At 37.9% G+C, this 26,232-nt stretch overlaps 1 protein-coding gene across 15 annotated transcripts in view; it reads left to right on the top strand.

Annotated features, from left to right (window-relative positions):
- Nucleotides 1–26,232, top strand: part of DNAH5 (dynein axonemal heavy chain 5) — a 321,491-nt gene that overhangs the window by 196,634 nt on the left and 98,625 nt on the right. For 14 of the 15 annotated variants that reach the window (XR_001742034.2, XR_001742035.2, XM_017009177.2 and 11 more), the window contains 8 exons: nucleotides 339–580; nucleotides 3,362–3,538; nucleotides 4,925–5,126; nucleotides 5,999–6,141; nucleotides 7,460–7,594; nucleotides 21,127–21,249; nucleotides 21,457–21,670; nucleotides 22,968–23,191. Coding sequence is in view for 13 of the 15 variants with exons in the window: in XM_017009177.2 (XP_016864666.1) it covers nucleotides 339–580; nucleotides 3,362–3,538; nucleotides 4,925–5,126; nucleotides 5,999–6,141; nucleotides 7,460–7,594; nucleotides 21,127–21,249; nucleotides 21,457–21,670; nucleotides 22,968–23,191 (1,460 nt within the window). In the remaining 2 variants the exon portion in view is untranslated. Of the gene's footprint in view, nucleotides 1–338; nucleotides 581–3,361; nucleotides 3,539–4,924; nucleotides 5,127–5,998; nucleotides 6,142–7,459; nucleotides 7,595–15,516; nucleotides 15,552–21,126; nucleotides 21,250–21,456; nucleotides 21,671–22,967; nucleotides 23,192–26,232 lie in introns of those variants that run through there. The other variant, XM_017009187.2, reaches the window with a different exon arrangement.

Below are 26,232 nucleotides of genomic sequence, written 5' to 3'. Positions count from 1 at the left end.
TCTCTACTCCTTAGAATGTAAGCTCTGCAAAAGCAGGACATTGTCTCATTTACCACAATATCCTCAGCCCCTAGAACAGTGACATATGCAAGGTGCTCAATGAATATTTGTCCAATAAACAAACTACTTTTTGATTTAATTATGGGCCTTGACTACTATATAAAGATCTTTGAAGATCCTTTGTAATAAAACAAGGTAATCATTTGGAGCAAAACTATATTTAAAAATTAATGAAAATTACATCTAATATAATAGTTCTTCAAGCTATTTTAAACTTATGTGTACATGCACTGCATGAGTGTATGTATTTTTTTTTTCCCTTTGGTGGGGTATTCTAGGGGAACATATCTGGATAATTCTTGATGGTCCAGTAGATGCCATCTGGATTGAAAATCTGAATTCTGTTTTGGATGATAACAAAACTCTAACCCTTGCCAATGGTGATCGGATTCCCATGGCTCCAAACTGCAAGATCATTTTCGAGCCTCATAACATTGACAATGCTTCTCCTGCCACCGTCTCAAGAAATGGAATGGTTTTCATGAGCTCTTCTATCCTTGATTGGAGTCCTATTCTTGAGGTATAATTGAATCCTTCTTTTGTATAATTAAAAAGGAAAACAGATCCTTTAGCATTCTTTTAGTGTGTGTGCCAATTTTTCTGCAGATGGCAGTGTAACTGCATTTTTATGCTAATGTTTGTGGAAGATACTTGAATGCACTGGGACATTCAAACCCTGATTGCTCCTAACATATTTCTTCATTACTCTTCCAATCACTTTTGAACTGGGATTTCCAACCTCTGGGTTGTAGAGTAATTGCCAGGCCTGTATGAACCAACAGTGTTGCCAAACTGTGTCTGAGGACTGAATAAGTAAAATTTAATTTGATCAATCTGGGGATTCATGATATTTTTGAAAGGTACACATTCACATAAAGTTTAGGAGGACCATCTTAGAACATTAACTTGGAGTCAGTTTATTAAAATTGCATATAAGGAATTTTTATGAGATTCATTAGTTATAACGTTAGTTCCAAATTTGAACTTGGCAATAATATTTCAGATAACATCTCATCAATTCATAATCAGGTATATTATTTTATTACCAGCAATATATCCTAGAATATATTGATCAAAATTATATTATAAATAAATGCCTTGCATACTTAGATATTTTGCTATATAAATATTATAATGTAAGGCAGAATGTTTATTAGATAAGCCACATGAAAAATCTTGTTTTACATAGTTGGTTATATTGAATATTTTCATCACCTAAGTTTTTCGAAGATGATTTTGATTGAAAACATTTAAATTCCTAATTTAAATAAAGTAGATGTTTATTTACATTATATCATTACATTTTCAAACTTTTATTTCTATATGGTTATATCCTAACTTTTTACTAATGTCTTTCCAGAATTTACTCAACTCTGTTGCAAAAGGCTTTAGATTTGGTATGAAGATGGGAAGAAGGAGGGAATCATATAGCAAAATGATGTTGACATAGAGTTGAATGTGTCACTAAAAATAGTTGTAAAGTTTTCAGATTTCACAATTAGATTATCCACCCATTAAGGAGAATAAAAGCAGAGGGTTGCAACCCTGTTTTTGCAAAAGTAATCACTAATGACAATTCTTTAAAATACAGATGATTGGGTTACACTTCAATCTTACCAAATTAGAATCTCTGGGAGGCAACTCAGGATTGTTTTTTTTTTTTTTTTCTTTTAAGTGCCACAACATTTTTTTTTCACATAGCCAGGCTTGGAAACCACAGGTACAGCAAACTACCAGTGAAAATGTATATATATGATTTTTCCAAAATACTTCAATTTCAAAAAGGTTTTTGAAAAATACTTTTATACAACTAGCTAAGGAGTACTAGCTAATGCATGAGTTTGCTATTTATAAAATAAGCTTTTGCTATAGTCTGTCCATACTGAGACTGAATAAGACCTTTACTTTAATGCTATACCCACCTCATAATATCCTATATGTTTTAAATAATGCATTTTCTTTTTTGGAAATTGTTAGGAAAAGCAAGACTCATGAGAAGAATCAGATTGGAAATGTTTAGAACAGGAAGGCCAGCTCTGAGAGTTATTAGAGGGCAGAGTAATTGAAAAGTTGTGTTGCTGACAATCTGTCAGCTTCAGGGAGCCAACCTGGTTACCTGCCCTAGTGAATGTCGTCTTTCGGTTCCATCAACTCAAAAGTGCTATGTTATGTTTTTGTCGAGGTAGAATCATGGTAAATTCATGAACTAATGAATAATTCAGAATCAACATTTTATTGCTTCTGTTCAGAGTCTCTAATTGTTTCTTGGAATACTGAGGTGAAGAATGAGCTGATCTCTTGACCTTAAGAGAACTTGCCTCATCTTAAGGAAACGCTGTGTGTTAAGTGGTATTTATGAGATGCAGTTTCTTAATACTAGGTTTCTCAAATGACTAAATTCTCCATTTTCATGAATATCCTTGATATTTTTCTACATTGTTTATTAATTAAATTAGAAGAAATAAAAAGAAACAACTAATTGTAGTAAATCTTTGTTTTCTGTTAAAAAAAAATCTGGGGGCCAGGCACAGTGGCTCATGCCTGTAATCCCAGCGCTTTGGGAGGCCGAGGCAGGCAGATTGCTTGAGGCAAGGAGTTTGAGACTAGCCTGGGCAATATGGCAAAACCCTGTCTCGACAAAAATTACAAAAATTAGCTGGGTGTAGTGGCATGCACTTGTGGTCCCAGCTGCTTGAGGGGCTGAGGCCAGAGGATCACCTGAGCCTGGGAGGTGGAGGTTGTAGTGAACTGAGATCATGCCACTGTATTCCAGCCTGAGTGACAGAGTAAGATCCTGTCTCAAAAAAAGAAAAAAAAACCTGGGTATGGATTTCCTTTGTTCATCTTTTATTCTTTACTTTTCCCCCCTGAGTTATTTCCATATATGTGCCTTCTCATTTTCTCCCAGCATATTTTAATCAAGAGTTGAAGACTATTTCTCCATCTGTGAGCATATGGATAGTGTAGTAGCTGAACATGTAGGCCCAGGCTTTCTGGGTCTGAATTCTGCCCTTGCCACCTGCTTGCAGTGGGCTCCTGAGCAGGCTACCTACACTTCCTGGGCCTCTGTTTCCTCATGTGTAAAAGGAGGATAATAACAGTTCTTACCTTGTAGGGTTGTTTTGAAGATTAAGTGAATTAATACGTGGAAGAGTTTGTAACAAAGCCTGGAACATAGTGTGTGGTATAATCATTAGATATTATCATTATTAACAGATACTTTTAAAATTTTTGTCCCCAAATGACCATTTTCCTAGTGTGCTAATAAGTTTCATGAATACACTTGTCTGTGAACTGACAGGGTTTTCTTAAGAAACGCTCACCTCAAGAAGCAGAAATTCTTCGTCAGCTGTACACCGAGTCTTTCCCAGACTTGTATCGCTTCTGTATCCAGAACTTAGAATACAAGATGGAGGTGCTGGAGGCCTTTGTCATCACACAGAGCATTAACATGCTTCAAGGCCTGATTCCTCTGAAGGTAAATTGCTCAACTTTCTAGAGAAATTCTCTCTTATCAACTTAGCCATGCTGCACAGAGAGTACTATATTTTCTCTCTTATTAATGTAGCCATGCTATACAGAGAGTACTATATTTGAAATTAGATTTGGTTAGAGCTGTTGGGGAGGGGGAATATTTCAAACATGGATCCCACATATATACTTATTTTTTCATATCCCTTTAACAAAAAATACAGCTAACCATGGATTTGGAATTTAGTTGCAGGTTAACAAAGTCATGCAACGGGTATCCCAAAATTATTACTGTGTGTGTGTTTTAATTTTTAATTTTTGTGGGTACATAGTAGGTATACATACTTATGGGGTACATGAGATATTTTGATACTGGTATGCTATGTGTAATAACCACATCAAGGTGAATGGGGTATCTATCACCTCATTCTTCATTTCTTTGTGTTATGAACATTACAATTGGACTCCCTCAGTTACTCTAAAATGCACAACAAATTATTGCTGACTGCAATCACTGTGTATTTTTGCACCCATTCATCATCCCCATTTCCTCACCCCTCCCCACTCCCCTTCCTAGCCTCTGGTAACCATCCTTCTACTCTATCTCCATGACTTCAATTGTTTTAATTTTTAGCTCCCACAGATGCATGAGAATATACCAAGTTTGTCTTTCTGCGTCTGGCTTATTTCACTTAACATAATAACCTCCAGTTCCATTCATGTTGTTCAAATGACAGGCTCTCATTCTTTTTTATGGCTGAATAGTACTCCCTTGTGTGTATGTAGCACTTTTCTTTATCCATTCATCTGTTGATGGACACTTAGGTTGTCTCCAAGTCTTGACTGTGGTGAACAGTGCTGCGATAAACCCTGTTTTTTTGTTTGTTTGTTTTGTTTTTTGACATGGAGTCTCGCACTGTCGCCCAGGCTGGAGTGCAGTAGCGCCATCTTGGCTCACTGCAAGCTCCGCCTCCCAAGTTCACGCCATTCTCCTGCCTCAGCCTCCCGGGTAGCTGGGACTACAGGCGCCCGCCACCACCCTCGGCTAATTTTTTTTTTTTTTTTTTTTGTATTTTTAGTAGAGACGGGGTTTCACCATGTTAGCCAGGATGGTCTCGAGCTCCTGACCTCATGATCCGCCCGCCTCGGCCTCCCAAAGTGGTGGGAGTACAGGCATGAGCCACCGTGCCCGGCCAACCCTATTATGTTTAAAGGCAGCTTGCTATTCTCAGAGATCAGTTCTTCATTTGTTCTCCAGTTGTATTCATCCTTTCCCTTGTTCTTGGAGGGCAACTAGTGTCTTGTTTCTATGTTTACTGTTCCCATTGAAACCCTAGAGCAACGTTTGGGTTTCAGAATCAAGTTATTAAAAAAAAGTGTCTTTCCTTCTCAGGAGCAAGGCGGGGAGGTGAGCCAGGCTCACCTGGGGCGGCTGTTCGTGTTCGCGCTGCTGTGGAGCGCGGGGGCGGCGCTGGAGCTGGACGGACGGCGCCGCCTGGAGCTCTGGCTGCGCTCTCGGCCCACAGGGACGCTGGAGCTGCCGCCGCCAGCGGGGCCCGGGGACACCGCCTTCGACTACTATGTGGCGCCCGATGGTGAGGACACCTGCCCGTCCAGACGGAACCCATGGGGGCCGTTCTTTCCTACATGGCCAATATTTACACCATATATATTTTTTCTAAATGAGATTTATAATTATTGGCTGTAAGATATGAAAACGTTCGTGTGTGAAGAAAGTGAACAGTGGTTTCTTTTTAAAAAATCTACTTTGTATTTCAAATGCACATTTTCCTCTTGTTAAATATCTTGTGCACTAAACTTTCAATGAATTAAGAAACATTTAAAAAACCAAATCAGATCCATTTCTGTCACTCATTCAATATAATCAGCAATTTGTATAAAAGTCACAAAGTTTAAAGTATATTTTTGCCAAATACGTGTGTATCTATAGCTGTATATCTTTATCTCTGTATGTATATATACTTTAAGGTTATTGGTGTATGTATAAATATATAAAGTACATTTATACAGAAAATGAAGTACATATATGTGGGTGTATAATAATGTATTAACTATTTAATATACATATGCATCAGCCTAGGATCTTTTGCCTAATGAAAAGTGTGAGATTAGACATTCGAAAGTGACTAATGATTTTAGATACACACTACTCTCACTCTGTTCTGTATTTTTATACATATTTCATGCTATTGAAAACTAATATATATTTTTAAAAAATTCCAAAATACTTCCTAGTATTTCCTAGGTTTACCACCTTGAAATTGTTCCTTGGGACGTTTTGACTCAGCTAACACATACTTGTGTACTTAGATCTCTAATTTTAATGATCTTCATTTTATGGGGAGAATTTGGAAGGTGACCTCATAAGATTTCAAGGATGTCTGCTCATTACAGTTCGGAGTTGAATTATTAATATGGAGATGGAAATGTCCTCTGCTCACCTTAGGTACATGGACGCACTGGAACACGCGTACCCAGGAATACCTGTATCCGTCTGATACCACCCCAGAGTATGGTTCTATTCTGGTGCCAAATGTTGACAATGTGAGGACTGACTTTCTAATTCAAACCATTGCTAAACAGGGCAAGGTATGACTTTTAATTTTTATTAACTGTAGCATATTTTAAGGGGAGACATGAAGCATCCTGCATTTATTTATTTAGTTATTTACTGAGACGGAGTCTCACTCTGTCGCCCAGGCTGGAGTGCAGTGGCGCGATCTCGGCTCACTGCAGGCTCCACCTCCCGGGTTCACGCCATTCTCCTGCCTCAGCCTCCTGAGTAGCTGGGACTACAGGTGCCCACCACCATGCCTGGCTAATTTTTTGTATTTATTAGTAGAGACAGGGTTTCACCATGTTAGCCAGCATGGTCTCGATCTCCTGACCTCGTGATCCGCCCGCCTCGGCCTCCCAAAGTGCTGGGATTACAGGCGTGAGCCACCGTGCCCAGCCAACATGAAGCATCCTGCATTTATTATAAAATGTTTTATGTTGCAGTTTAGAATACACGAAAATGTCACCTAACCTACTATTCCTTTATTATTCCCCACTAAAATATGAGTTGAATAGTTCTAATTCATAAGTCAGTAATTATTTCTTATGTATGAGTTGACAGAAAGTAAATTTTGACTTGCTTTTCCCCAAAGGATTCCTTCTGCTTTGATCGCTGAGCTAGTTTGCTAGGGCTGCTGTAACCAAATACCGCAGCCTAGGTGGCCTAAACAACAGCAGTTTCTTTTCTCTCTGTTCTGGAGGCTGAAAGTCCAGGATGAAGGTGTTGGCAGGCTGGGGTTCTTCAGAGGCGCCTCTCCTTGGCTGGTAGATGGCTGCCTTCTCACTGTGTTCTTCCCATGGTGTTTCTTTGTGTATACAAATTTCCTCTTTTTTTTTTTTTTTTTTTTTTTGAGATGGAGTCTCTGTCACCCAGGTTAGAGTGCAATAGTGTAATCTGGGCTCACTGCTACGTCTGCCTCTCGGGTTCAAGCAATTCTCCTGCCTCAGCCTCCCAAGTAGCTGGGATTACAGGTGCACACCACCACACCTGGCTAATTTTTGTATTTTTAGTACAGATGGGGTTTCACCATGTTGGCCAGGCTGGTCTCGAACTCCTGACCTCAGGTGATCTGCCTACCTCAGCCTCCCAAAGTGCTGGGATTACAGGTGTGAGCTACCACACCTGGCCACAAATTTCTTCTTCTTATAAGGACACGAGTTAGGGTGGAATAAGCCTCATCCAACAGCTTTATTTTACCTTAGTCACCTCTTTAAAGACCTTATCTCCAAATAGAATCACATTTTAAGGTACTAGGGGTTGAAGATTCAGCATATGAATTTTGGGGGGACAAATTCAGCCCATCACACTCATTTATTTCATTTCTTTTTTTTTCAATTCCCTCTATTTTAGGCTGTGCTATTAATTGGTGAACAAGGAACAGCCAAAACAGTAATAATTAAAGGATTTATGTCAAAATATGATCCTGAATGTCACATGATCAAGAGTCTGAATTTTTCTTCTGCAACCACCCCACTGATGTTCCAGGTACTGGCTCTTTGGTATGGCTCAGTAAGCCCAATTTTGTGATAAACTTTGGAGGCTCAAATCTCTACTATTCTGCTTCAATTGAATCTCATCTGAATTTTCATAGCCATGATAAATCACCCACGTACGTCTTCCATTCTTTCAATTATTCAACTGCAATAGTTTCCCTAGTTAGAATATAACATCTTAAATTATGGAAACATTAAAAGCTTATATAAGGTGCTATAGGCCTCAATGCGGTTTAAAATATCTATGTAGAAAATACTGTGAACACGCAAAATCCAAAACTGAAAGAAAATCATTTATTCCCCACCTAAACCTACTTCCTTTCCCTAGAGTCTGCTTGCCTGAAGGTGTTCCTAATACTCTTTTAGGCTAGGCACTTTGTAATAATCTTTAATGCGTCCCTGTTGCTCAGGTCTCAAAGGCTGTTACAGTACCAAAAGAAATGCATTTCACATCTATTTCTTTATCTTCATGCTCCTGGTTTACCTCTAGGTAATCCACTTCTGCATGATTGCGTACCAGGTTATTGGCATGGAAGAATCCCCAGCTATGATTGGTTCAAGTTGAATTCTCTTTCAGTCTAGCTTTTATACCTTCCACTCCTTACTTCCTAGAATGCCACTTTAATCTTGTTCCCCGACTTAACATTCCACCCTAGCTCCCATGCTCAATTGCAACAAGGTATAAAATCTTAGACCCTTAGATATGAAATATTTTGCTCTATGTATCACAGAAGTGTGAGAGAAAAAAAACCCCTCAAGTTTGCGTTGTTTATTTTTTTTTCCCAATGAAACCACCAGGAATGACCTAGATTTGCAGTGGCTTAAATAGTTCTTTTTCTCCTGGTCCTAAATTGTACAAGACCTTATTGAAACTGAGGAGGAAATCCTAAATGTCAGTACATGCTTCAGTGATTTGCAAATTATCTCTCATATTTTTATTAGAACATTAATATATCACCAGAAGATACATGTCATAAATTGCAAATAGAAGGGAAATTTTTAGGGGAACACAAATCCAAAGAACTTTGCTTTTAATGAACTTTGTTGTTCTTTAGCTGTTGGAATGAAAATATCAGAGCAATGAAACTTGTTGAAGGCATGGTTAAATCACCACTTTTTATCACTTAATTTAATTGGTGACAGCGGAGTGCCAATACACTAAGATCATTGATTAAACTTCTAAATAAGACTGTCAGCTTCATTATACTCTTCTGGAGGAGACAGGATTTCCAGTATGGGCTATCTTTCTATCAAATAAATACCATTCATATAGTGTCTGGGTGGGCAGATCTGGATGGATGGTCAACCCCAAATTGCAGTGACTTAGCAGTGGCATTTTCGTGTTTGGGAAAGGACACATTAAATTACCCTAGGCTGGCAAGATGCTAACGTTATATGTGTTCCTTTAATACCGCTTTACAATTAAAGAGCTTTTGTTAGTTTTACCTTAGGAGGACATTCTCTTTAAAGGTTATAATTATAACATTATTTGAGGATAAAGGTTTTAAAAAAATCAGATCAGAGTGTGATTATTTTTTCATTATGTGGGGTGATTTTCTAATGATCCACACTTCATGAGACTGTATGAACTCTTTAGGCCTACAGTGTAGTTCTGATTGTAACTATGGCAGAGCTAATGCAGACTTCAGAAGTTAAGGGCCGAGTCCCCACAAGACTGCCCTCACTCAGACACCAGCCACAAGCTCAGGGGTTCTCAAGAGACCCATACCTCTGACCAAGTGGCTACAAATTAGGCCATTCCCTCAGCCCTCTCAGTTTCCATAATTCACTAGAATGACTTACAGAACTCGGAGAAATGCTATGCTTATCATTACAGCTTTCTTGCAAAGATACAAGTAAGTGTCAGTCAAAAGAAAAGATAAAGAGGGCGAGGTTTGGGAGGGTCTCAAATGCAAACCTTCCCTGTCCTCAGGATGTGCTACCTTCCAGGCATATCATGTATATCACCAACCTGGACACTCACCTGAGCCTTGGTGTCCTGGGTTTTTATTGGGGTTTTATTACATAGGCATACTTGATTACATCATTGGCCATAGGACGAGACTCAGATCTTTTTATTTTTTTTGAAACGGAGCCTCGCTCTGTCACCAGGCTGGAGTGCAGTCGTGTGATCTTGGCTCACTGCAACCTCCACCTCCTGGGTTCAAGCAATTCTCCTGCCCCAGCCTTCTGAGTAGCTGGGATTATAGGCATGGGCTACCACACCCCGCTAATTTTTGTATTTTTAGTAGAGATGGGGTTTCACCATGATGTCCAGGATGGTCTTGATCTCTTGACCTCATGATCTGCCCTCCTGGGCCTCTCAAAGTGCTGGGATTACAGGCGTGAGTCACTGTGCCCAGCCAAGATCTTTAAGACTGAACTCAAATCTCCATCAGCTCCCCTCCCAGGTCAACTGATATCATGTGACTTAAAACTTCAACCTTCTCATCACATGGCTGGTGATGAGTGGTTGGCATGAGTGGTATGAGGGGCCCATGTGAGTCCTTTCTATCACTCAGGAAATTTCCAGGGTTTAAAGACTCCATCCCAGGAGCCAGGAACAAAGGCCAGTCCAATCTTTTATTATGCAATGAGGCCTTGTCATTGCGTTTTTGTTACCAACTCTGTGACATTTATCTCTGCCAGGTATTAAAGATCTGTGGTTTCTGTCTCTTTAACATGAAATATGTACTCGTTTCCTGGAAAAAGCCATATGTTATCTAGAAAACCTGTTGTTTGATATACAAATTCATAAACCATATAATAAATTTCTAGAAGTGGTACCATATTCAAATATAATAAATAGAAGAAGAGTGAAGTATTCCTTAGGCTCCCATTATCTGATACACATGGCTTTAGCCAGATTCCCCACTGTTCTTCAGTGTTAAGGTGGAGTTAACACATCACTATTTCTTTTTTCTGTTCAGAAGCATCACAGGATCATCCACTCTGTTTCGTGCCAGAGACTGTTTTGACTGTGGAGCATCAGGGATTTCTATTAAGCAAGACTCATTAGTTTTAGAAAGCTTTCAATTAGCCAAACTGTTGTAATTAACTTTCTCACTGTAATTTTCAGTCATTCATGCTAAACAGGGCTGATGGAGCAGAGCATTTGTCTCTGCATCTCCCACGTATCTGGATCCCAACCAAACTGAAATTGTAGATGAGAAAATAGATACTGTCCATTTCTCAGCTGTTACCAAGATGGCACACTGTCCAACGAAGGGCGCGTATCTGTTACTTCACAGGTTGTTTTCATCTTGATGTAACTTTCACATCTTTCATCAGTAGAGGGGACTGTCACTTTTTGCCTCGGACAATCCAGGTTACTTTCATTGTCTCAGATTAATAATTAATAGCATCCTTTGCCACTATCAAAAGTTTGGACAAAAATTATACAGTCACTCCATTTTTTGGCTAAGGGAATTTAGTCCATTTTTTAAGAAAGATTCCTCATTTTTCCCCCCGAACTAATATTAATTTTTTTATTTTTGAAAGTAATTCATACATAGAAGTAGAAATTTAAGCAATACAAGAAGGTGAAAAGAAGAAAGCAAAAATTAAGATAATTTCTGAAAAGATTTCTAAAAATAATTATAAAGTTTTTTGAATATAGCTACCATCTTACAAATGGTTGCATAGCAATAGGTTTTATTTTTTAAAAAATAAGACTCCTAGACCTGGAAGGAAATTCCACAGTGTTTTTTGGACCCAGAACCACTTTTCCAAGTGACATCTTGTGCAGTAGATTAATCTATAAAATAAGTAACCATGGATTTGCTTTGGTGGAATTGGAGCTGGGGTCCTGCAGCCCATTCCAGCCTCATCTTTTCTTCCTGCAAGGGATCCCTGTGTTTGCAGAAAATCCTTTTGGCTCCTCAGAGCACAGTTTGAAGACTAGTTTCCTAAGAGATAATATGTGAAAGTATATTTGTATCATAAAGCTCTCTTAAAATGTCAGGTTTTACGGTTAAGACTGATGTACTTGGGTGGAAGGAGATTCAAGCATTGTCTGAATTCACTTAGTTGGTGGCAGAACCTAAGCTGGAAACAGCTGGAAACCAGGGTCCATGTGCTCTGCTGTGCTGTGCACCCACATGCTTCCTTCCAATGGCCTTTCTTTATCTATATTAATATCTAAAGGGCTGGTTTATCACTTAGTGCACTTGTTTTATTTTTAGCTTCAGTTATGCATTATTGTATTTTCATGTGATTTTTGACATATTTTACTTTTTACAATGTACTATTGAGCATTTTAAACTTTCCTAATGTAAGACTATTTTTGTTTGAATTACAATAAAATGGGAAGATGTTATTAGGCAGTAGATTTCTTAATAAAGAGCATAACTCTCCATTTTTATGTTTTAGCTAATAGCACACATATGAAAACCTAAAATTAATTATATTTTATATTTCTGTTTAATTGTATGTAACATGCATGAAAAATGATTTAGGTGCTAGTGTATAGAGCTACACATAGAAATAATAAAATAGCTTTACATTTTATACTACATTAAGCTCATGAATTGCTTTCATATATATTATATATCATTAATGCATAATACTCTGTAGCAAGCTCATGAATTGCTTTCATATATATTATATCATTAATGCATAATGCATATATGCATATTCATATGCATATTTATGTACGTACATATGATTTACGTATCTATACACACTCTCATTTCTGGGTTGTATTATACCCAGAAATATTAAGTGGCTTACCTGAAATCATAGAGTTGATAAATGTGAGAAGCAGTAGTTTAGTTCGTTTTTCCTGACTTTCAGCCTAGTCAGAGCTGTTATGTAAGACCTTGCAGGTCGTGCAGATTTTGCACTGTGTCTCATTCACAAAGATGATTGCGTGAATGTTGTACCTAAGAACTAGGCAATGCACCGTCGCCTCAGCTGCACATGATCCTTCCAATACCCCTTCCAATGTTGCTTTCCTCCCTTTGTCTTGTTGGGGAAACAGACATGTGCATAACCAAGTGTAGTTGACAAGATAAGTGCTACTTATGGCAGAATCTCAATGCTGTACTGTGGAGTCCGGAGGAGGAGCCGATTAGTTTCCATAGGGGATTACAGAAATCAGCATAATGAAAGAGTTGATCATTCCTTGGGGGAGTTTATTATTTATATTAATTTCTAGGAATTATAAAAGCTGAGTTGTCTATTGAGAAATTAATTCAGTAATTGAATTGTCCCTAGGTTTAGGGCTTCTAGCTCAGAAAAGAGCCAGAAGGGAGCTCCATTCCTCAGCCTACCTGGTTTTCTGACCATCTGGTTTTCATGTCTTAAAATGCTGCTGTCACAGCTTGGGTTAATGATATCCTATGTGTGTAGACAGACAATGAGATTGGAATCTTGTTTAGGTTTCATAAATTGCATAAGATGCTGTCATGCTGACTACGATTCCCCAATTTCAGAGTAAAGTGATTGTCTATTCTCAAAGAACAGTATATGTCCTTAGTGCAAGTCCTTGCTAGAGACTTAATTTTTTTTTTTTAAAAATCAGTAACTGGATTGACAGAAGTGACATTTTTAGAAGATCACTCATCTAAATCAATATTTCACAATGTGAATTTGGCTAATGATAATCCTGAGAGATTTTTTTTTGGCTTAGAAATGGCTACTCTAGAAATATATAAATAAGGATCCCATAAGGAATACTGTAAGCCAGCCTATAAGGTGAACATCACTTCACAGTCTATGTGTTTTTTTTTAACTGTATGTAAATGAACTAAGACCCTGAGGGTCCAGAACAAAGACAGTGAGAAGGACTGTCTGGAAGTGAGACTGGAGGAGTAAGTAGTGGGTACCATAGAGTTCCCTGTAAGTCACTGACGAGGAACCCCCTGGAGTCCTGAGGAGGATTGCATTGCCCTTTAGAAAGCTCATTCTGGCTGTAGAGTGGAGAACAAGATGCAAGAGACATGGCTGCACTCAGAGAGACCTGAGAGGAGACAGTCGCAGTCATTTCTCAGGAGGGAGGTTGGGCTGGACCAAGATGGTAAAATGAGAAAGGAAACAGAACAAGGATGCATTCAACCTTGGTTAGGAAGTGGAACTACCAGAACTTGTGATTGGTTGAGTAGGGGTTTATGTTAGTCTGTTCTTGCACTACTATAAAGAATGACCTGAGACTGGGTAATTTATAAAGAAAAGAGGTTTAATTGGCTCATGATTCCACAGACTATACGGGAAACGTGGCTGGGGAGGCCTCAGGAAACTTTCAGTTATGTTGGAAGGGGAAGTAGACACTTCTCACGTGGCCGGAGCAGGAGTGAGAGAGCAAAGGTGGAGGTGCTACACACCTTTAAGCAACCAGATCTCGTGAGAACTCACTCATGAGACAGCACTGGGGGGATAGTGCTAAACCGTTAGAAACCACCTCCATGATCCAGTCACCTCCCACCAGGCCTCACCTCCAACATTGGGGATGACAATTCCACATGAGATTTGGGTGGGGACACAGAGCCAAACCATATCAAGGTTGTTGGAGGAGAGGCATAGGAGACAGTGAGAAAAGTCAAAGATGACTCCAGGTTTCTTGTATTTATTTATGTAAAAAATATTTAACAACAAACACATAGTACCAGACACCCTTCTAGACACTGAGGATGAAATAATGAGTAAAGTAAGGAAAACAAGGTGCCTTCCCTCCTTACCTTCTAGTGGAGGAGACAGGCAATAATCTAATAAGCGAACATATCTACTTGGTTTTATTAACTGGACCGCAGTTCATAACAGCAAAACAGTGGATGAGGTGGGAACACCAATCAAAGAGATTGGAAGGAATGTGGGTGGCAGAATACTACACAGATGATCCGTGATTCTTTAGACGGATTTCTTTGGGGGAGACAAAAAAATTCTAGGTAAAATTACAAATCATGCAATATAGCCATTGTGTATGAGTCATAAGGAAGTTTCCAGGATTGACTGCAGTCAGGGAAGGCAATTTAAGGGGTCATGACATTAATCCCTGTGAGAAAGAAAGACATAATGGAATGGGGGCCTACTGTTGTTTAGGTAGGAAGAGATACTTTAGAAAGGGTGTTGAAATTATAATAGAAAAACTCAGTGTTGTTAGATGTGGAAATTTTTGGATGGGGCAATAGGTAGTTGGTGCCACTTTCTGAATTGAGCACCCCAAAGGGGTGCAGACTTTGTGCTGAGTAAGGAAGTGGAGTTTATGTTTGAATATGCTTATTTTTGTGATGTTATGGAACCTCCAGCTTGGACAGATCAGATGTCCAAGTATACAGTTTTTTCGAACAGCCCCAAATGGATAGCTATCCAAAGGAGTAGAGCATGCAATACAGGAGGAACATGCCTAATCTGAAAATCTGAAATTCAAGTTGCTCCAAAATCCAAAACTTTTTGAGCATTGGCAAGCTCAAAATATTTCACACCTCACCTCAAGTGACAGGTTGTAGTCAAAATGCAGGTGCACAACACACAGTTTATTCAGCATCCCCAAGGGAAGAAAGACCCTCCCAGCACCCTCCTGCTTTCATATCTTTTCAGCACACTACCAGATTCCCCCATGCAAGCATGTCCAACATATATTGTTCAATATACACGAATGTTGTTTCATGCACAAAATTGTATAAATATGAAATATTTAATTTTAAATATTTTAAAATAAAATGTAAGTAAACATATAAATACACATTTTAATAAATACACACATACATACATAGCATATATAACTACTTCCTGGTTATATATATAAAGTGTATATAGGAAACACAAATGGCTTTTATGTTTAGATTTGGGTTCCATCCCCAAGATATCTCATTATGTATATGCAAATATTCCCAAATCTGAAAACATTCAATATACAAAACACTTCTGGTTCCAAGCATTTCAGAGAAGGCATAACCAACCTGTGTTGTGTTTCAGGCCTTCAGGAGGTCTTACCAAACTTCAACACTCAGGTAACTATTGAATCTGCAACAATTCTAAAAATGGAAAGAAATCTCAACTTCTAGGTTCTCAGGTTGCTTAATTTTTCTCCCTATTTTGTTGTGCTTTTGTCAATTTAACTCTTTTATGACATGTATAGCTTAGTGGTGATAGGGATGATTTCCTATCATTTCAAAAAAATTAGGGTTACAGTGGAGGGGAAGAAAATATAGGTGTGTGGCTATTACTCTGTATTACTCTGACTATCCCACCTAGTACATTTAGCTCTTGAGAAAGCTTCCCAATACATAAAATCTTCATGTGCCAAAAAGTGTTCTCATTAATAGACATGGGAATGTCTGGAAGTCCTAGTTGGCCATAAGGAGGTGCATTTCAATTCATTGAAAAGAAGAGCAAATTTAGCAAATGCAAACAATTTTGCATTTTTGTGGGGGGGGGTATGAAATTCTTTTTGCTATTGTACAATGTCATGGGAGATTTGTTTTGTAATTGAATGAGTTGTAATATATTTATATCTCATTCTATTTAAAAATAGTGAAAAATTTTCACATTGCTTGCTATTATTCATTAAAATGATGAGGCCAGGCACAGTGGCTCATGCCTGTAATCCCAGCACATTGGGAAGCTGAGGCAGGTGGATCACCTGAGGTCAGGAGTTTGAGACTAGCTTGGCCAACATAGTGAAATCCCATCTCTACTAAAAATACAAAAATTAGCAGGGTGTGGTGGTGTGCACCTGTAATCCCAACTACTGGGAGGCTGAGGCAGGAGAATCGCTTGAACCCGGGAGGCAAAGGCTGCAGTTAGCCAACATTGCACTCCAGCCTGGGTAACAGAGCAAGACACTGTCTCAAAATAAATAAATAAATAAATAAATAAATAAATAAATAAATAAATAAATAAAATAAATAAAATCATGATGAAAATGTACACTGTGCAATTACTGTGAAGATTCTCAAGGACAGTTGTATAGAGTTTTGCTTTTTTTTGTCTTATATTTTGTCTCATTTTGTGGTTATATCTTGTTCATAAAATTCACTTTTAACTGGTTTGTTCTTTGTCATGAAATAAAACATCTTTTGGATAAGAGAAGGAGAATTTATTTTATCTTTACATACCTCCACTTTCTTCTGTATTTATACAACATCTTTAACATGATTTAAAATCATGCATTAGTGGATTCCTACAGTTATATAAATGAAATGAGCTTTTGAGTTTTGAAGCTTCTGGAGTTTGAGAACTTCAAAGCCCTTTCTGTTTGCTTTGCAGTGCCAGACTCTGGTTACTCATGCATACATTTTGAAAGACAATTGATTCCCAAGCCACATTGCACTACCATGGACGTGAGAACACCAGTCAAGAGCCTGGAGTCCTCTCCTCAGATCCTCTTCCTACCCCTTCCAGTGTCCCTTCTTTCAGTTATTTATTTATTTATTTTATTATACTTTAAGTTGTTCTAGGATACATGTGCACAGTGTGCAGGTTTGATACATAGGTATACATGTGCCATGTTGGTTTGCTGCACCCATCAACTCATCATTTACATTAGGTATTTCTCCTAATGCTATCCCTCCCCCAGCCCCCCACCCCCAGACAGGCCCCAGTGTGTGATGTTCCTCGCCCTGTGTGCAAGTGATCTCATTGTTCAATTCCCACCTATGAGTGAGAACATGCAGTGTTTGGTTTTCTGTCCTTGTGATAGTTTGCTGAGAATGGTGGTTTCCAGCTTCATCCATGTCCCTGCAAAGAACATTAACTCATCCTTTTTTATGGCTACATAGTATTCCATGGTGTATATGTGCCACATTTTCTTAATCCAGTCTATCATTGATGGACATTTGGGTTGGTTCCAAGTCTTTGCTATTGTGAATAGTGCTGCAGTAAACATACGTGTGCATGTGTCTTTATAGTAGCATGATTTATAATCCTTTTGGTATATGCCCAGTAATGGGATTGCTGGGTCAAATGGTAATTCTAGTTCTAGGTCCTTGAGGAATCACCACACTGTCTTCCACAATGGTTGAACTAATTTACACTCCCACCAACAGTGTAAAAACGTTCCTATTTCTCCACATCCTTTCCAGCATCTGTTGTTTCCTGACTTTTTAATGATTGCCATTCTGATTGGCATGAGATGGTATCTCATTGTGGTTTTGATTTGCATTTCTCTGATGACCAGTGATGATGAGCATTTTTTCATGTACCTGTTGGCTGCATAGATGTCTTCTTTTGAGAAGTGTCTATCCATATCCTTTGCCCACTATTGATGGGGTTGTTTGTTTGTTTTTTCTTGTAAATTTGTTTGAGTTCTCTGTAGATTCTGGATATTAGCCCTTTTTCAGATGGGTAGATTGCAAAAATTTTCTCCCATTCTGTAGGTTGCCTGTTCACTCTGATAGTAGTTTCTTTTGCTGTGCAGAAGCTTGTTAGTTTAATTAGATCCCGTTTGTCTATTTTGGCTTTTGTTGCCATTGCTTTTGGTGTTTTAGTCATGAAGTCCTTGCCCATGCCTGTATCCTGAATGGTATTGCCTAAGTTTTCCTCTAGGGTTTTTATAGTTTCAGGTCTAACATTTAAGTCTTTAATCCATCTTGAATTAATTTTTGTATAAGGTGTAAGGAAGGGATCCAGTTTCAGCTTTCTATGTATGGCTAGCCAGTTTTCCCAGCACCATTTATTAAATAGGGAATCCTTTCCTCATTTCTTGTTTTTCTCAGGTTTGTCAAAGATCAGATGGTTGTAGATGTGTGGTGTTATTTCTGAGGCCTCTGTTCTGTTCCATTGGTCTATCTCTCTGTTTTGGTACCAGTACCATGCTGTTTTGGTTACTGTAGCCTTGTAGTATAGTTTGAAGTCAGGTAGTGTGATGCCTCCAGCTTTGTTCTTTTGGCTTAGGATTTTCTTGGCAATGTGGGCTCTTTTTTGGTTCCATATGAAATTTAAAGTAGTTTTTTCCAATTCTGTGAAGAAAGTCATTGGTAGCTTGATGGGGATGGCATTGAATCTATAAATTACTTTGGGCAGTATGGCCATTTTCATGCTATTGATTCCTTCTATCCATGAGCATGGAATATTCTTCCATTTTTTCGTGTCCTCTTTTATTTCGTGGCGCAGTGGTTTGTAGTTCTCCTTGAAGAGGTCCATCACATCCCTTGTAAGTTGGATTCCTAGGTATTTTATTCTCTTTGTAGCCATTGTGAATGGGAGTTCACTCATGATTTGGCTCTCTGTTTGTCTGTTAATGGTGTATAGGAATGCTTGTGATTTTCGCACATTGCTTTTGTATCCTGAGACTTTGCTGAAGTTGCTTATCAGCTTAAGGAGATTTTGGGCTGAGACAATGGTGTTTTCTAAATATACAACCATGTCATCTGCAAACAGGGACAATTTGACTTCCTCATTTCCTAATCGAATACCCTTTATTTCTTTCTCTTTCCTGATTGCCCTGGCCAGAACTTCCAACACTATGTTGAATATGAGTGGTGAGAGAGGGCATCCCTGTCTTGTGCCAGTTTTCAAAGGGAATGCTTCCAGTTTTTGCCCATTCAGTATGATATTGGCTGTGGGTTTGTCATACATAGCTCTTATTATTTTGAGATACGTTCCATCAATACCTAGTTTATTGAGAGTTTTTAGCATAAAGAGCTGTTGAATTTTGTCGAAGGCCTTTTCTGCATCTATTGAGATAATCATGTGGTTTTTGTTGTTGGTTCTGTTTATATGCTGGATTACATTTATTGATTGCATATGTTGAACCAGCCTTGCATCCCAGGGATGAAGCCAACTTGATCATGGTGGATAAGTTTTTTGATGTGCTGCTGGATTCAGTTTGCCAGTATTTTATTGAGGATTTTCGCATCAATGTTCATCAGGGATATTGGTCTAAAACTCTCTTTTTTTGTTGTGACTCTGCCAGGCTTTGGTATCAGGATGACGCTGGCCTCATAAAATGACTTAGGGAGGATTCCCTCTTTTTCTATTGATTGGAATAGTTTCAGAAAGAATGGTAACAGCTCCTCTTCGTACCTCTGGTAGAATTTGGCTGTGAATCCGTCTGGTCCTGGACTTTTTTTGGTTGGTAGGCTATTAATTATTGCCTCAATTGCAGAGCCTGTTATTGGTCTATTCAGAGATTCAGCTTCTTCCTGGTTTAGTCTTGGGAGGGTGTATGTGTCCAGGAATTTATCCATTTCTTCTAGATTTTCTAGTTTATTTGTGTAGAGGTGTTTATAGTATTCTCTGATGGTAGTTTTTATTTCTGTGGGATCGGTGGTGATATCCCCTTTATCATTTTTTATTGCATCTATTTGATTTTTCTCTCTTTTCTTCTTTATTAATCTTGCTAGCCGTCTATCAATTTTGTTGATCTTTTCAAAAAACCAGCTCCTAGATTCATTGATTTCTGAAGGGTTTTTTGTGTGTCTGTCTCTTTCAGTTGTGCTCTGATCTTAGTTATTTCTTGCCTTCTGCTAGCTTTTGAATTTGTTTGCTCTTGCTTTTCTAGTTCTTTTAGTTGTGATGTTAGGGTGTCAATTTTGGATCTTTCCTGCTTTCTCTTGTGGGTGTTTAGTGCTATAAATTTCCCTCTACACGCTGCTTTAAATGTGTCCCAGTTCTTTCAGTTTTAATATCTTTTTGTGTACTGCAATGAAGGTTTATTTATTTATTTATTTATTTTGAGACGGAGTCTCGCTCTGTCGCCCAGGCTGGAGTGCAGTGGCGTTATCTTGGCTCACTGCAAGCTCTGCCTCCCGGGTTCACACCATTGTCCTGCCTCAGCCTCCCGAATAGCTGGGACTACAGGCATCTGCCACCACACCCGGCTAATTTTTTTTGTATTTTTAGTAGAGACAGGGTTTCACCGTGTTAGCCAGGATGGTCTCGATCTCCTGACCTCGTGATCTGCCCGCCTCTGCCTCCCAAAGTGCTGGGATTACAGGCATCAGCCACCGTGCCCGGCCTCAAGGAAGGTTTTTTACAGAGTGCAGCGTGGTCTTCTCTTGCACTGCCTAAGCTCAGAATGTAAAAATGAGAGAGAAGACATAAGTGAGCTTTGTTCACTCTGTGTCAGGGAATGAGAATTGAATCCGTGTAACTGCATCTGCCCAAAAGAGTGGGTATGAGCTGTGCCAGGTGACAGCAGTCAGTTTCAGCCTTCAGACCATGATGGGCTGTGCAGCTCGGAGTGCAGACCTCAGAAGCTTCTCACACAGTAGCCTTGTTTAACTTTGTTGCTGGTTATAGGGAAACTATTAGCAAGACTTTGAATAATGGGGAACATAGTGTCACCAACAGAAGAAGACAAAAGTAAATTTTTAGAAATGGACAGACGAGTCTCATCCCATTCAAATTCACATTGGTTAGAATTTCATTTCCTTCTAAATTAAACTGGATTTTCAAATTTTGTGAATGTTATACAAGATAATTTAGGTACTTTAGAATTTGTTAGAATTAAGGGGGAAATTTGGCTTTTTAGAAATAATTCATATCAGTTCAAAGGTTACCAGTTTTTGTTGTTTTTTAAAATAATTGACCAGGTTTTAGGGGATATTTTCACAGATGTTTCAGTTGATTTTTTTTTCACAGAGGACGATAGAGAGCTATGTGGATAAACGAATGGGTACAACATATGGCCCTCCTGCGGGAAAGAAGATGACTGTTTTTATTGATGATGTGAATATGCCAATAATCAATGAGTGGGGAGATCAGGTATCATCATTCTATTGTGCATTTTATTTCTTTAATTTGGTATTGATTTATTCTTAGAAGAGTTTTTAAAAATTTTTTTTAAGTTTTTACTTTTTCAAGATATAATTTCTGAATTCCAGTAAAGTTCTTTCTTTGGAAACACTCAAGGAGTTAGGCTCCGGGGATAGAAAGGAATGATGCTTTAATTCTGAAAGTTGTCTTTTGTAGGTTACGAATGAGATAGTGCGACAGCTGATGGAACAAAATGGATTCTATAATCTAGAGAAGCCTGGGGAGTTCACCAGCATCGTGGACATCCAGTTTTTGGCAGCCATGATCCATCCTGGTGGTGGACGCAATGACATACCCCAAAGACTCAAGAGGCAGTTCTCTATATTTAATTGCACGTTGCCCTCTGAAGCTTCTGTGGACAAGATCTTTGGTAAAGATCAAGAGGATGTGGGGTGGGAGGGTGAGGAAGAACACCTGCTTGGGTTCCTTTTTGAAAATCTTCACCCAAGACCCACACAGAAAGAGCACTGGGTGGCTCCTTGGTCTACAGCCTCCATCACTCTCAAGCAGTGTATTTCATTTCCTATAGGGATTGATTCTAGGTGTTTCCTGATTTGGATGACTTGGTAGAGCTTTTCCATTTATGGTTTTCTTTAACTGTTTCTAACTTCTTAAGCAAGGAGGTTTAACATTAAATGAACATGGAAATGAAATTGTTTCCCCATACATGAGGTTGTTTCCTCATGGGCACATAGTTTTGAGGTCTGGATTGCTATGTTCCATGTCGAAAGTTTATGTAGCTTATACTTTAACCAACCCATAGAATGATTTTGGCCAAAGAAATAATGGCACCCAGAGCGCAGATTGGACACGGTCTGAAATTCAGAGTAATTTACTGGATTCTAATAAGTTATTGATTAAATATGTAGTATTTCATAGATAATTTAGTCGAACAATCACTAGCCAAATAAGTAAGCATATATGCCTACCCGAGTAATGATTATGCACTTGTGACTTATTTGTGCAGAAAAGAGCATAAAGGTTTGAACACATTTATGTTAAGTATTTAGTTTACAATTTCTGACGCTGCTATTGAGAAAAAGCTCATCAGGATTACCCTAATTAATTTCTGGCAAACGAAAATGTCATCTGGGTGCCCCAGGCTAGTGAAGTATGGCAGTAATCTCCCTTCAGTCACAGCAGTGAGCAAGGTCTGGAAACCAACAGACATTGGAATTATCTAAGCTTGGGAAAAGAAACATGGACCAGAAAAAAATGACTGTTATCATTTTTAATTATTCCTTATTGCCTGGAAAATTTTACATAAAAAGTAAATGAAAGTATTTTATAATGCGTGGAAAGGCAATGACAGAAACTAGAAACCTTAGAGGACTTATAAAAACTTTTTTCTTATCTTATTATAAGGTAACTTCATGCATTTATCATTGTTACCCATTTAATAATATTGAAGTGGTGCAACCAGAGTCTTCGGCAGTATTTCTTAATCAGTTTTTCAGTGTTTTGAACTTATTTTCTTAAACTTGTATCTATTTTTTGTTATACTGTATTTGAAAAAACAAGAGAACATTAACATACTTTTCTTTTATATGTGATTATCTATTAAAATGTATAATGACATTTTTGCAAACCCTATGCTATAATGCTTTTCATTTTCATTTAATTTCTTTGAATGGCTAATCAAAATGCTGTAATTTCCCCCTTTTCAGGTGTGATTGGGGTAGGCCACTACTGTACTCAGAGGGGTTTCTCAGAAGAAGTGAGAGATTCTGTGACAAAATTGGTGCCTCTGACACGCCGACTATGGCAGATGACCAAGATTAAAATGCTTCCTACCCCTGCAAAATTCCATTATGTGTTTAACCTACGAGATCTTTCTCGGGTCTGGCAGGGAATGCTGAACACTACTTCAGAGGTCATCAAGGAACCAAATGTAAGTGACACTGAAGAAAGAAAAACAAATAACATTGCTATTAATGATATATTCTAAATATTTTTATTGATTTATTTTTTACTTGAACTGTGAACATATTTTGGAATGTTTCAGCATGGGTATTCTTTACTGCTTTTAAACTAACATAATGAAATAAATTATGTCAGAAAATGTCAGTCAATGATAAATTCCAATTAAATTAGGTTTGTGTTTTAAGAACATCATATACACAATTATTTTTTAATGAAAAGAATAAAAGAAACAATTGATTTATTTTCCCAGTTCTAGTATGAGAAGAAGATATGTTTCTTATACTAAATAATGGAAACAATCGCTATGGATTTTACTATATAATAGTCTTCATATTTTAAGCTTGACACTTTAACTTAAAAAGTAATTATCTTTATAATAAATATTCAAAATTAAAAAACCCATTTTGTTGATAATCATCTATGATTTTTCTTTTCCATGTAACTGGATGCACTAAAAGATTTACGTACATTGGTAAAGTTGAGGAGAGGCAGCAGCTTACGAAGTTCATTTAATAGAAAAATGATCATTTGTACACACACTTGAATATGACATTTCCCAGTGTTATAAGAATTTCCCTCAAACTAAGAATGCTATGTGAAAATCCAGTATGCTTTTGTTCCAAAGCGTAGCCTATGTGCCCAGGCTAAGACAGGGTTGGCCTCTGTTTAAGCCTTTCTAGAGCTAAAGAAGTAATTAAGCAAATGGGTTTTAGGGGACTTCTCCATATAAACACACAGAGACAGTTAAATTATCAACAAAACTGTTCATTAAGCACAAGTGTTGATTACTAAAAAAACTCACCTCTGTCCAGATGCTTGCAATATAGGTAACCAAACTTGCCGATTCTTTTTTTTTTAAAAAATTATTTGTTGATTTATTTTTAACTTTTATTTTAGGTTTGGGGGTACACGTGAAGGTTTGTTCCATAGGTAAACATGTTTCATGGGGGCTTATTGTACAGATTATTTCATCACCCAGGTATTAATCCCAGTACCCAATAGTTATCTTTTCTGCTCCTCTCTCTCCTCTCACCTTCCACCCTCAGGTAGACCCCAGTGTCTGCCATTTCTGTCTTTGTGTTCATGAGTTCTCATCATTTAGCTCCCACTTATAAGTGAGAACATGTGGTGTATTAGTCCGTTTTCATACTGGTATAAAAACTGCTGGAGACTGGGTAATTTATTAAGAAAAGAGGTTTAATTGACTCACAGTTCAGCATGTCTGGGGAGGCCTCAGGAAACTTAACAATCATGGTGGAAAACGAAGAGGAAGCAAGGCACCTTCTTCACAAGATAGCAAGAAGGAGAAGTGTGGAGCAAAAGGGGAAGAGCCTCTTATAAAACCATAAGATCTTGTGAGAACTCACTCACTATCAGGAGAACACCATGGGGGAAACAGCCCCTATGATTCAATTACCTCCTTGTGGTCTCTCCCTTGACATGTGGGGATTATGAGGATTACAATTCCAGATGAGATTTGGGTGGGGACATATCATGCAGTATTTGGTTTTCTATTCCTGCATTAGTTTGCTAAGGATAATGGCCTCCAGCTCCATCCATGTTCCCATGAAAGACATGATCTCATTCTTTTTTATGGCTGCATAGTATTCCATGGTGTATAGGTCACACATTTTCTTTATCCAATCTGCCACTGATGAGCATTTAGGTTGATTCTGTGTCTTTGCTATTGTGAATAGTGCTGCAATGAACATTCACGTGCATGTGCATAGTAGAATGATTTATATTCCTCTGGGTATATATACCCTGTAATGGGATTTCTGGGTCAAATGGTAGTTCTGCTTTTAGCTCTTTGAGGAATCACCATAGTGCATTCCACAATGCTTGAACTAATTTACACTCCCACCAATAGCATATATGTGTTCTCTTTTCTCTGCAACCTTGCCAGCATCTGTTATTTTTGACTTTTTAATAATAGCCTTTCTGACTGATGTGATATTGTATCTCATTGCAGTTTTGATTTGCATTTCTCTAATGATGAGTGATGTTGAGCTTCTTTTCATATGTTTCTTGGCCACATGTATGTCTTCTTTTGAGAAGTGTCTGTTAATGATATTTTGGGGAAAACTCACTTTCCTTCCTGCAGAGAAGTGAGAGTCAGTTTAGCGGCGTGAATATTTTAACTTGATTTTTTTCCCTCAAAGTTATTTACAAGTCAATGGAATTGTTGAAGTCAGTTTTCAAAGATTACTATTGAAATAGCCATTTTTGATGCTTATTTTAAATCAGCACAAACAATTCCAGCAATTGATGTTATCATAAACTTTTGTCTTAACTGAATCATTGAATATACTTCATTCAACTCCTTTTATATTCAGGCAACCAGATAGCATTCTATCATTAGTAATGCAATGGCTTAAAAATCTGTAACCTGAAAAATGTTACGAAGCTAAGAAATTTCCACCAGTCTTTCATATCAAATAATAAGCTTACACATACATTTGTTATTCTTGCTTACATACATTTGTTATTCTTGCTATATAAACAGGAGTATTGAGCAATTAATTTCCTCAACTTTCAGTTAACCTTGGACCTTGGATTATCTGGATTAGGTGCTTGCTTTTTTTTGTTCAGATAATCCAGTTTTTGCCACAAATTTTATTCACTTTGTGTTAAGTGAATACACCTTTGTAATTTTTCAGTTGTATACATGAGAGTTGTTCATATTCTGTATCTTATGTTATACTCTGGCCACATGAATATAGATGTCTTATTAAAAAGACTAATTTATTACAAACTGAAGACTTTTACGTAGAATATTAGTTTGTTGATTGGTCAGAGCAATTTTCAATATTATTGTTGGAGGATTTTTTCTTCTTACTTCAGAGACTGCAAATAAATAGACTACTTTCTATTTAATATACTTGAATGAGGACAATTTGAAGTGAAGTTGAGCATATTTGAACCCTAACTTTTTAAAATGTTGAATCTTAAATCAGGAAGGATAATACTCTACAGTACTGTCAACCTGAATTCCCAATTACGGCATAA

The sequence above is a fragment of the Homo sapiens genome, chromosome 5, assembly GCF_000001405.40.
Source record: "Homo sapiens chromosome 5, GRCh38.p14 Primary Assembly".
Taxonomy (NCBI): domain Eukaryota; kingdom Metazoa; phylum Chordata; class Mammalia; order Primates; family Hominidae; genus Homo; species Homo sapiens.
The sequence above is the reverse complement of the archived record's forward strand: the minus strand, read 5'-3'. Positions and strand labels throughout refer to the sequence as shown.